The 13171-nt window shown below is 37.5% G+C and overlaps 1 protein-coding gene across 4 annotated transcripts in view, besides 1 other annotated feature; it reads right to left on the reverse strand.

Moving 5' to 3' along the window:
* Positions 1-403: 403 nt before the first annotated feature.
* Positions 404-13171, reverse strand: part of PROSER1 (proline and serine rich 1) — a 28225-nt gene continuing 15457 nt past the window's right edge. For 2 of the 4 annotated variants that reach the window (NM_170719.4, NM_025138.5), the window contains 5 exons: positions 12865-12951; positions 8039-8083; positions 3230-5015; positions 2622-2772; positions 404-2026 (listed from right to left, as the gene is read on the reverse strand). In NM_170719.4, the coding sequence (NP_733837.2) occupies positions 1904-2026; positions 2622-2772; positions 3230-5015; positions 8039-8083; positions 12865-12951 (2192 nt within the window). In that variant the 3' untranslated portion in view covers positions 404-1903. The remainder of the gene's footprint in view (positions 2027-2621; positions 2773-3229; positions 5016-8038; positions 8084-12864; positions 12952-13171) is intronic. The other 2 variants (XM_047430652.1, XM_011535239.4) reach the window with 1 other exon arrangement.
* Positions 11651-11945: a silencer, noted in NCBI's record as "tiled region #13170; K562 Repressive DNase matched - State 9:DNaseU". NCBI's record gives its function as "represses a minimal TATA promoter and a strong SV40 promoter by Sharpr-MPRA in K562 cells {active_cell/tissue: K562}" and the evidence as "EXISTENCE:reporter gene assay evidence [ECO:0000049][PMID:27701403]".

Consider the following 13171-nt stretch of genomic DNA (forward strand, 5'->3'; position numbering starts at 1 on the left):
GTAGTAAGATACTCCCCTCACTTCTCGTGTTTTCTTAGCACTTGGTAGTAGAAGTATTCATAGTAGATGCTTGATTCAGATTTACCACTTTTTATGTGACTTACATCTTGGATTCTTTAGTGAATTAGGTTACTTATCCCATATAGTTGGGAAACATATACATAAAACTAGCCTCTACGAATTAGTGCAAGGATTCTAAAAACATTCACTTTTATATATACCTTTGAATGGCCAATTATGTGTGAGGCCAGGGATCTATAAGATGAATAGGATATAGCTCCTCTTTTCAAGGGGCTCATAGGATAGCAGAAATACACCTTGTTGTGGCATCACATTGTATCAAGACTACTCATTCAATAATTATTTTCTGAATGAATGGTCAACATATATAAAAAACACAATATAATCTTAAAAGAAGTTTTATGGGTATAGATTTAAGAAAAACAAATGGCAACTTCCAGCAACTGGTATCAGATTAAACTATAGCTTACATTCTGTGTTTAAAGACATAAATCTGTCTGTTCATATGTTGGTTATGACTTTTACATTAAAATATCATTTAAACGAATGAGCAATCAGTAGTATAAACAGAGTTACAACTAAATTTGGATAAAAATGTTCAATAATTAACTCTAGCACGTATACAAAATTAGAAAGCCTATCCAAGCACTTAGTAAAACACAGAATATTTGTCATATCCATAGTTTATTTTAAAAAACTGTTAAAAACTAACCATACAGGTTTATTAATATACTTAAAAAGTTTGTTCCCTATGTTGAAGTAAAATACATTAGCAACATCTTCCGGACACCATCTTTATAAAAGTAAAACTTCTAGATCCTGAAATGTACTACAGTAGAGTCTATAGTTTACACTTTTAATCACAGATTGGAATTCATTCTCCTTACTCCCCTACTTCCCACATGTGGCAGTTATTACTTCAAAATTAATGACATTCACTCATGTTATACTACCACAGATCCTTAAATAGAGTACATACTGCATAATTACTAACAGAGCCAGTCTTCTCTATTTGTTGTCACATATTTCATATAAGCATTTGACTTAAAGTACAAATAGAAATACTACATCCCATAATTGTAAACATTCACCAGGAGCTTCCATAGTACAGTAAGTAACAGAGGTGGCCCAAGAGTCAGTCAAGTGTTCTTCACTCACTGGATACTGCTGAGATTAGGAAAACTGTTTTGAAGGCAAATTATCCTAAGTCTTACTTGTATTTCTATAAGGATGCAGTTCTGGATATATACTTTCAGTTGAAAACACCTGAAAGTCATTCTATAGTCTACATTAAGCACCACTTTCACTTACCTGAAATATTTTGAGTTAAATTCAGCAGTATGTACGGTTGTTAATATCAGAAATTAAGAATAACTGTGGGTCTCAAGTTCCCTTTTGTGGATACATACAGAGTACTGAGTTCCCACTGATGCTAATAGGAACCGCTCATGCATACCAAGGGTAGTAACTCCCCCAGGGCCACATGCAACCCCCAAGTCTGAGGCACAACTATTACTTCTGCCAGTGGATGCTATACAAGCATATTTAAGGCTGTATTCGGCTATAAAGAGTTCAACCTACTCTTTAATATTCTTTCTATGTAGATCACATACACAATTCAAAATTTTATAGGACAGGTGAAAAGTCTCCAAACACTTTTTAAATACCATTCTCCATACAATTTATTGTCAGCATATTTACATAGGGGAGTGTTCACACTTTAAAATGCAACCACAATTTTCAAATTGTTGTCACAATTTCTCCAGGATTACCCTCATTCTCATTTTCCGACTTTTGGCCAGCTTCACATTTGTCAGATTGTTCATTGCAGTTCTCAGGCAATTCTGATGTTGCTCTGAAGGAGAATAAAAGTTAAAAGTATTCACTGCCACCCACTCTGGGACAGGCTTGGTTGCAAAGAAAATGGTGTTCCTGGCGCTGAAGGATAACTAGGAAACCCATCAGGCTGAGCTGGATAGCTTTCCAGAGCCGAAGCTGAATGGACCTGATGGAAAGAAGAGCGTGTGGTTTAGCAGAGTGCCAAGTTCATTCAAGCCTGCGCTTGCTTCTACCCATGCCACACAGAGATATTCAGAATAGGAAAGAAAGACAAGACAAAACTCTGAGGCACAATAAAGTCTGCTCAGTCACTTAAAATTTTTAAGAAAATGTTCAAATTTCTTCAGGTGAAGGAGATGCATAGAACTGTCATTAAAATATTTAATATTCTCTCAAAAGTCAATAGGTTTTCTACAGATAATGTGCTTTAACGGTCAATCATTAAGCTTGAATTACAGAAGACAAGTTAACATTTAACTGTCATGAATAGATTCTTAAATTTTATCAAGTGAAATCTATAAGCAGGAAGGAAAAACAATTCATACAGATAACTATATCCTACCACCTCTGTTACTCTCCTGAAAGAAGACAAGCAAAATTTGCAAATTTGGAGAGAAGTAATCATCATCAAATCTCTATGCATTCTGCTAAGAGCCATTTTTTGCCAATGTTGGGATATCGCAAATGATACTGCAATGTTATCACTACAGAAGTTAGTTATACATGTTACCATGTAATTTATGCCAGCCATTGCTGCTTACCTGCTGTAACAATGCTGACTGCGCAGCCGCATTATGCTGTAATTCTTGCAAGGATGATTGTGAAGGATTCTGAGGAAACCCAGGGATACCCGGGAGGGACAAAAGGCCTGGAAAAACAGAACTGCCTGCAGCTTGAAGTCCAGATGATAAACTAAAACAATTGACAGAAAAACAAGTTAACTGCAGACAAGACATAAAAGCTACTGTTTCCATATTTGTCAAATACAATCTTAAAATGTTAAAAACAAAACAAAAACCTTAGAATTTATTCCTCTGTTGGAAGGACCATAAAAATCAGCCATTCCCTGATATGAATCTTTCTACTGTGAAGTATATTATTCGAAATTCAGTAAGTCTGTTTTGCATATAATCCTTTCTGCTGTCTTATAAATAAAACTATCAAATACAAATCCAAACATTGTATCAACAGGCATTAATATTTTATACATTTATCTTAACATGGTTCATAAAACATTTCAGAGTGCTAAAGTTTTCACCCAGAAAAACATCATTTAGATTTTGACATTCATTTTGATGACTTGAAATGAAATGTGAACTACAAGTTAGGTGAAGAATAATTTTATCCTATTTCCAAACTATCCACATACCCGGCTTGTGCAACAAGAGCGGAGTTGAAATTGGAACTGAATGCTGAGGCGAATCCTGGGAGGACTGGAGCTGGGGATGGGGCTGTGGCAGCCACAGGTAGTGGTGTGACAGCTGCGACTGTAGAGGGCGCCTGCAGCCCCGGGAATGAGGGAAGAGCAGGGGTAACGCTTGGGGTATTAGAGACAGAAAAGCCTGGATAGGAGGGATTTGAAGATGACAGAGGTCCTTGAGTAACAGAGAAAAGTGAGGGAACAGCAGTGGACAGGTTGAGGGGGAAAGGTGCTGCTGAGACTGGTGCTGAAGCAGAAAGCCCTGAGAGAACAGCTGCCGTTGAGCTAGGATGAGGGAGAGATGTGGAGGTGGCAGCGGTAGATGAGGTGGCTATTAATGACCCTGGGAGAGATACTGACGGATTAAGAGATGGGTTGCCAGTTAAAGGAAAATTGTTGGTCAAAGAAGTAAAAGAAGGAAGAGCAGTGAATACTGGTGCAATGGGAGTGGAGGAACCATGTGGTGGAAGGGAAATAGAGGAAAGAGGATTTGAACCATTTAAAGGAGTACTCAAGCTGGAGAGACCTGACAATGCAGGATTAAGGCAAGCAGATAAACTGATGGGCACGGATGTTGAAGTATATGCACGGCCCAATGTCCCTGACAAACCTAAAGTGCCATGAGAGGGATTCCCAGAATGAGATGGACCTTTGAAGGCCGAGGGAGTAGGACTTGTGGGCTCAGTTTTGATCATAACAGGAAGAGTTGTTGCAGCAGGGGTAGATGAAATATGCAGATCTGAGGTACCTGGGTGGGGGCCACGCAAAAGGGAGGCTGAGGAGCCACAGCTAACTGGCACTGACGTGGAAGCTGATGCAGCAGTGGCTAAAGGAGACTGTACAGGCAATGTCAGGGGAGTGGAAGTTGAGTTAGCCACGGGAGACGGCAGGCCTGGGAACAGGGCCAACCCTGGAGTGGAAGTCCTCTGTGGGGTAGGGATGGCTGATGGGGCATAGCACTTGTTAGGGGCTGAAGCAGAAGAGTCAGAGTTCTGAAGAGTAAGAGAAGATAGTGAAGCCAGCCCACTTGTGACAGCAGAGGATAAAGCAGAGGAGTTGATTAAATTGGTGTCATTGGATGTCAGAAAACCTTTTAACGCAGACAAAAGAGGACTGTTCACACCAAGTGGACCGGCAACGCTGGGAGTAGAGCCACCAGCAATTACAGGAGTCGGGTTGGATAGGCCTTGGGATGTTGGTGGTAAGGGCAAAGGGAGCCCTGCAAAAACTGATGACAATGAAGCAGAATTTGGGTTGCTGGTAGAAGCAGCAGAAGAGCTGGTGGAAAAGGGGAGGCTAGTGAAAGGTGCAGAAGTAGAAGCAAATGCTTCACTGGAACCAAGAGTGGACCGTGGTGTAGGTCCTGGGGTAGGAGTGGCTGCGGTAGGAGTGGCAGAAGGACCTGGCAGTGACACTAGGCCAGAAAAAATGGAAGGAACAGGAGTGGTGGTTGTACTGTGGATGGATGTAACAGGTGCAGTGGGCAATGAAGGGGTTCTGATAACTGTTGGGTTTGGTATTGATGGCTGAGGTGTGTGAACGGCTGAGGAGACCTGCCCTGGGAACACAGGAAGGACAGTATTCAGCAGGTTCATTCCAGAAACGGTGGCAGCTGCTGATGCTGATGGATGATTAATTGCCTTGACTGGGGATGCAGTAGGAACAGGAGTTGCAGCAGGTGTTGAAGGATTAGAACCATGAGGAGAAAAGAGTTGACTTGCTGGGGTGGAAAATGCTATATGGAAGGGGGAAAAAAGGCAAGAATGTATCATCATGCTGAAACGTCAAATTTTGAATTAAAAAGCATAACCATTTTTGTAATATTTAACAAATACCAAATAAAAAATGACAAGTATAACAGGCTCTTGTAATATCTAAATTGCTGGGTTCCATTTCTCAGATCTTTACTCTGGAGCCAGTCAGATCCAGTTTTCGTCTAGACTCTGCTCAAAATAGCCCTCCAAATCACAGGAAGTTTTGAGAAGCTTGCGAAGTGTCCTTTCATGTTTTTCCGCTTTTTAAAAATTAAAGCATTTATTTTAATTGTGATTAGTGCTGCTGCACTGACTTTACCTCTAATTCTTTCAATCTACTTATCTAGAGTCAGTCAGTCCCCCTCATAGGAGCTTTCAGAACATGGCTTCCCTTGCAGGGCCATACAAGGCTTTCCAGGATTCATGCCCAGCTCTCCAGTATTGTTTGTTGCCACTCTGTGAGTTGAATTTAATATTCCAGATTGTTCATCTGTACAGTTGCCCCGCCCCACCCCCATACATTTGCTCATACTGACCGCTCTACACTACATTAACCCCTAACCCTTACCTGGCAACTCCTTTAGGGGCAAAAGCTGTGTCTAATTCATCTTTATAGTCTTAGTACCTAGCACAGAACACAGCACCTGCATAGTTAATGAGCGTCTGCTGGGCTGGATATATCATAATTACCTCAAACTACAGTTCCCAAACCCACTCAAGGACTATTCCCAACACTATTTCTAGAGTTTGCTATTTTTATTCTGATAAACTCTACAAATAATAAGCATTTTGGGGGATGATGTGGGCTCCCCTCTGAATGTATTCAATGGCTATCCCCACCTGTGATAATCTTGGTGTCAAGGGATATCATGACTTAGGTAGCTAATGTCATAAACACAACTATCATCTGATACTGTACTCACATCAAATTCTGTTTCAGTTGTAGAGAATGTTCCTGTTGCAGTGATAACCAACTGAGAAATATTTTCATGGACTAACACATTTTACAATTTATGTATAATTAAGATTCTTTTGACATAAGCAAGCTGACACGGTCAACGAATACACTATGCTACTCATAGATGGGAAGGGACAATAGGAAGAAAATGGAGGTAAACAACACATACATAATTCATTTGCACTATGTGAAGGCCAAGGGGTGTCACATTGGGCTGAACAAATTTTGTAGTTGTTTTAGAAAAAAAAAATGATTGGAAAATTGACAGTCATATTTAAGTACATAAACTGAAACTCAAAAGTCCTTAAGTCTTGACCGTATTAATGTTGTAAGCAGTGATTTGGTTTCAATAAGACTAGCTATCATTTTAAACTTACAGTACCTATAAAAATGGATTTGTACGTTTTTTGTACTTAATTTCTTTTATAAGAACTAAAAGGATAAGGAATATATACCTAATCTTATGTTTGTAAATAATGTACCAAAAAGGTATTTAAGTCCATAGGTGTTGGGTATCATTTGAGAAATCACTATCTTATTTATTAAACTATATGCTGAAGACCATGTAGCTAATGACAAATCTGAAGGTAAAACCAAGCTATCCTAGAGTATTATTTATAGCAGCCTCTGTTGGATCTTTTTATTTAATAAAGCAAAAGCTATGCATTATTAATCATAGCACTTGCAGGTAAAAATGAAACGAACAAAAATAAAAAAAATCCCAACCACATACCATAATAAACAGCACTTTCCAGTCATCTAATTTGGTTATTAACCATAAAACATGATCTGTCAAGCCCTGTGCTAAGTTAGGCCCATCATTTCACTTGTCCTCACAATAACTCTCTGAGATAGAAACTAACACCCTCATTTGACAGATGGGCAATCTGAGGCTTGCTATGACTAAGCAACTGGATAAAAGATCATGCAGCTACTACATGGTGGAGCCAAGACTTGAGCCTGGGTCTTTCAGACTCATGTCTTTAACTGCTATACTAGTTTGTCTTAATTTGTTTCTTAATACAGTTCCAAAAGGAAAAAATAAAATCTTAATCATGCTAACATCGTACAACATAGGAAAACAATATGCTATTCCTGCCAATGGTACTTACAACAACTAACCTGATTACTCCCTTCAAAAACATTTGAACATAAAATAATAAAGATGAACATAAAAGCTGAAATTTCCTCAATCTCCTTTTCACTGGAGTTAAATTACCTGTTCAAGGTCACAAAACTAGGTGATGCCAGAGGCAGGATAAGAAACTGGATGTCCTGACATTTCACTTAGTGTTCTTTACACCCCACTATGCTACCTCCTTTAGAAACTACCAGCTGAGAAGCACCTGCTAGGCACTGTTCTCAGGGAATGGAATTCTCCCACTGAGACTCCTAACTATGTACTACAATGGTCAGGCTATTGTGCTACTTTGCTAAACAAGAACTGATGTAGTTTTGTCTCATACAAGAAAGCCTCTCCTTCCTGACCACACAGATCATCACCTAGGGGAAAAATACAACGTCGCAGCACTGCTGCCATCTGGAGGCACTATGTAGGACACACTTCATTTTCATTTTTCAATTCCATTTTCTGCTTTGGTGCCCCTTGTTCTTTCCTACATTAAGATATGCTTAATAATACTTATTGAAATAATGAACTCTAAAAATAGAATCTGACTAGCATTTGTCAAAAAGGATTTTTATCATCCCATGTGTTTATATCAAAAAACAAATGAGGTTTCCAGTATCACAGAATGTAAAGTGAATGTGAATGCAAAGCTACGCAGTACTTACATTACACTGCAAGTTTTGCAAATTGTATAAAAGTCCTAAGATTAATTTTAAATTCAGTTAACACGTGCATTTCATGTTATGTATATAATATGTAACACTAGTAAACCACTTTTAACAAGTATGAATTATATTCTTTAACCAGAAACTTTTCCTAAAACATAACCATTCCAAATATACTCAAATTATTCTCAGTGAATAACAGAGCAAACCATGACAGATATCCGTTATCTCTGGATCAAATTTGCTACTTACTTTGATTCTGTATAGGTTTTGACGGATTCGAAAGGTCTTCATTCTCTATATAAAAATAAATAAAAGTTCATTTTAAACTTTAATCAAATATTTGCCACCATAATAAACAGATATTTGGATAAAAAGAAAAACACAGGATATAAATATTTATGGACTATGTTAGGAAAAAAATGTACACATATGGGAAAATAAATAAAAATAGTAGTAACTCTACTATTATTACTACTAATACTTTACTACTCTATCTGAAGAGCAAGAGGATTACCAGAAACTGAGTGAGTGCTCTTTTATCCCCTAGCATCTCTACCTTAGCTTGTCAAGTTTTAAATACACACTGTTAATTTTACATATATACTATATTCAAGAACACTTTCTGGAAAGATGCTGGCCTGAGGGTGCCATCCAGGAGAAAGTGTACCCTGCAGCTGTAGTGCAGAGAGGACCACTATCATTGGCTGACCTGACAGACAGCTCCTCTGAGTACCAGTGCCTACAGGAGTGGGAAGACTGAGAAGCGAGGTGGCAGCTGGATGAATAAGTGTAGAATTCGCTGCCATTCACTGTGGATTGTCCAAGCCAACAGAAAGAAACTGTCCTGCCCATTTGCTGTACTCAGCTTGGGAAAGGCCCTATATTAGGAATTACCATGGAGAACTAGCCTAGTTGAGGCTAACTTGAAGCCTGTGAGACTGACAACCCAAAGCACACTCCTCAAGGGAAAGGATCTATCCAAACAGCCCATCAGCCAAGGATACAAAGGGAGAAAAATTTAACCTCTTATGGCTTGACAATAACTGCCCAAGAAACCAATACTGTGACAGGCATACAGTGTAAAGGAAACCTCCACGCCCTGGTATAGTGAGCAAAGAAAAACCACAGCTTGTTTGAGGAATTCACGAGCTTGACTGAGGTGACAAAAAATAACCACCAGAACAATGGAGATTTAATTAAAGAAAAAGGACTTTTAAAACCCGACACACACACACACACACACACACACACACACACACACACACACTACTGGGAAATAAGCAGAGAAGACTTTTACATATAAAAATCTGATTCCAAATTAATAAATGGAAAGAATAATAAAGATTAGAAATAAAATGACTAAAAGTTAAACTATGGTTGGAAACAAGAAACAAATATCACTTAGAATGCCAAAAAAAAATTTTTAATGGAAAAGATGTCATAAATGAATGGGTTAATAGGCTTAGAAAGCAAATACAGAAAATGTAAAATAAGAGTAGCAGGAGGAGGGGAAAAAAAGCAGAGGAAAATGCAACAATTAAAAGAATAACGAAAACAAAATTTTCCTAAGCTTTAAAGACTTGAGTTTTCACATCAAAAGAACTTACAGAATGCCAGAAAAGATTAATGACAAGATACACACCTAAACATACTGGTAAAATTTCTGAAATCCAAAGATAAAAAAAATTCTTTGTAAGCTTACAGAAAGAGACCAAGTTCCCAATAAAGAAAATTATCTGGAATTAAATTTCCCATCCACAACTCTATACATGTGTCCTTTCTGAAGTAATTTCTTACACGTCATTTTCTACCAAAAGAAAATTATAACAGGCACATCAAGACAAAGAATCAAACAAACAGAAGAAACAGTAACAAGTCATGATCAAAGGCAATTTTAAAGAAATTAAATATCAGAAGCAAAAATGTCTAGTATCCCAACAAAACATACAAATTGATTTTAAAAAGGAGAGGTCGGGCGCAGTGGCTCACACCTATAATCCCAGAACTTTGGGAGGCCGAGGTAGGCAGATCGCCTGAGGTCAGGAGTTCGAGACCAGCCTGACTAATGTGGAGAAACCCTGTCTCTACTAAAAATACAAAAAAAAAAAAAAAGAAAAATTAGCCAGGCATGGTGGTATGCCTGTAATCCCAGCTATTTGGGAGGCTGAGGCAGGAGAATTGCTTGAACCTGGGAGGCGGAGGTTGTGGTGAGCCGACATTGCGCCACTGCACTTTAGCCTGGGCAACAAGAGCAAAACTCTGTCTCAAAAAAAAAAAAAAAAAAAAAAAAGGGAGAGAATATGGAAGTAAAATGATATATAGAATAGTTTTAAGTTTTTGTATACTGACAACCATTAAGAATAAGAAGGTAATCATTGGCGATATTAGAGAAAATTTCTAAGTTTGGGTGGGGTCAAGGAGAGAACAGTTGTTAAAAAAACAAAATGGCAATTTGACCAATACAATTTAGCAAAAGGTAAGAAAAACAAAACTGGAATAGAAGAATAATGAAAATAAAAATAAAATGGAAGGACTAAGAACAAATGTGTAATTTTTATTATTAATAAAAATTCCTATTAAAAGTCTAACAGGTTTAAAAATAAAAATTCAGCTATACACAATTTACAAACCAAGCCAATCTACCAAATAAAATCATAGGGGAAAAAAGTTTAAAATAAAGGTACAGGCAAAATATTTTTTATGAAATAAAAATAAAGTCAGGACAATATTATTACTGAATAAGGCCTAGGAAATAAAGAAATATTTTATAGTAAGACTATAACTCAGCTGATATTATTTTATATCTATCTAGAAAACTCAAGAGACTTAAAAAAAAAAAAAAACTAGAGAGGGTAATTAGTAATAAGCACCTAGAAATGAAACATTCTATTTATAATTGCAACCAAAAATATCTCTAAATTCTATAGACAGATTTAAGGAACAGAATCTGCATGTAGAAAACTACAGTATCTTCTTGAAAGGAATAAAATAAACCCTGGGGAAGAAAACACTACCAGCTTGACGTGATATAAAGATATATACACATAACTGAATGGTAAGACTTACTATCATAAAAATGTCAGTTCTTCTGAAATTACTATATAGCTCTCTCTCTGTACACACACACACACACCCCTGTTGTTTTAAGTTGCAGAAAATGATCTTAAGGTTCAGATGGAAGATTTCTAACGATAATAAAAATACAAAAATATATAAGGGGGAGCCTGCCTTATGAAACATTAGAACACACTACAAATCTGGTAGTAAAATTAGTATATAATAATAAAATAACTACAGTGGAATTTTAATAAAGAACACATCAAACTCATGAGTAAAACAAACAACAACTGATATAAATAAAAATTAATTTTTTGTTAAAAAACACAAACAAAAATGTAAGCTAAATTAGTCTACCAGACTGGCAAAGTTAAAAAAATGAAAATCTTCCATGTTGAAAGGGTGTGAAGAAACTGTAGCCTCATATACTCTTATGGACAGGTTTAAACTGGTATAGGGTTTTTGGAGAATAGTTTGACAACATATGGGAAACCATTCATTGTTCATATCCCATGTTACCAAAAGACCCACTGAAAAAGGTTGGCCTGGCAAGTGTTGGGGTGTTTTAGTCCTTCTCACTGCTTTTTTATGAGCCCTTCCTCTCCATGGTAGGCATAATTTACTCAAATGGTGGCATTCATTAAGTCAATGATACTTCTCCATAGCACGTCAAAGTTTTACCACTCATGAGAAATAGTTCTTTTTCCCATAACTAGCCTGTGTTTACATATGTGACCCAAGGCCACTTGAATGGAGTCTTTTATGTCATTAGCAAAGTAAATGGGGAGACAATCATGCCAACTGGCCGTGGAACTTAGGCTACAGTGGGCTGAATTCCAGCTCCTGCCCTACCTCTGACAGGCACGGGATACCCAATTCACCCCCTCCCCAAGTAATTACTCTTCTAATCTGCATGTGATAAACTGCCTTTGTGCAGAGTATTCTTTGCTATCCCGCTGTCAACTCCATACACAGTCATCCATCAATTTCAGTTTCTGACAGTTCCTTTGCTGAGTCAGAAAGGTGCCTACCCTAGTGTCCAAAGATTCTTAATAAAAGTTTAGAGGCAGAAAGTCCCCCAGCTCTCTTCAATCTGGCACTTAATAAAGATCCTTGAAAAAAAAGTTGATACTTTGATCTCTCTTGGGTTCTCTGTGCACAAATTCTAGCATTTCCCAAAGTTGCTTAAAGAACCACCAGTAGGTCATTAAAAAAAATAAAAATACCAGGCACCCCCTATCACAATACACTGAATAGAATCTCTACAAGTGGGGAACTAAAGGTATTTTTTTAAAAGTGCTCCAGGTAGTTTCAGGCTACAGAGAAACCACCTCACTGTTGCTTTGTCATTCCTCATATTTGATTATCAGTCTGTTTTCACCTGTTTCTTCCTTAACTTAATTCAATTAAATGGCAGCTTCATTATTGGGTCAACAACCTTTAACAGTATATTATGCAAGCAGCTCACGTTTAATTTAGTGGGGCTGATTTGGATGCCTCTCCTATGAGTTTCCATAGCACCCTAACCCTATCACAGCACTGATCATTCCAACGCATCTCTTTGAATCTAAGATGCCACTTGCTATAAATCACATTCTAATTTCAGAGAAATTAAACTATAAAAAATGTGCAATTGAGAACCAATAATGTAGAATATATTGAAATGGCCTTCTCTTTCCTCATCTGTATTTTTTCACTAGACTAAACTCTTTGCAAACATGACTCTTTGTGCACCTCTGTATCCACAGCACACAACACATGATAGGGTCACCTAATATTCATTAAACATGTTACTGAACAGATGCTATTAAAATGTTAGCCTATATTACAAATAGAGAAAGTGAAGTCCATCAAGACTATGAAAACTGTCCCACATTACCAAGGATTCACTTCCAGATCCTTCAGACTCTTGAGCTTGTGTTCCCTCTGTTAGAATACGTCATGCCAAACAACTGTCCGTTCCAAGTGTACATTTGTATATGAATAAGTTACTTAAACACCCCCAAATAACATTTTACCTGTTCCTACAGGATTAGGAGTATATGGAGGTGGAGGTGGAGCTATGACATTCGCTAATGGTACCAGACCTGCATTGTTATAAGCACCTAAAATAAAAACACAATAGAAAAAAATATACCTTAGGACTGTTCTGTGACTGGTATTGTTCTGTGACTAGGAGTTCAAACTATATTAATGCAGCTATTCAATTTATTATAAAAACTCCTATTTAATACAGTTGATTTTATATGGAGGTTTATGTCTAGAGTTAAGTGAAAACTGACACCAAATGAAACAACCAGAGATTCCTATTTCCCACTGCATGCT

This window comes from Homo sapiens, chromosome 13, assembly GCF_000001405.40.
Source record: "Homo sapiens chromosome 13, GRCh38.p14 Primary Assembly".
Taxonomy (NCBI): Eukaryota; Metazoa; Chordata; class Mammalia; order Primates; family Hominidae; genus Homo; species Homo sapiens.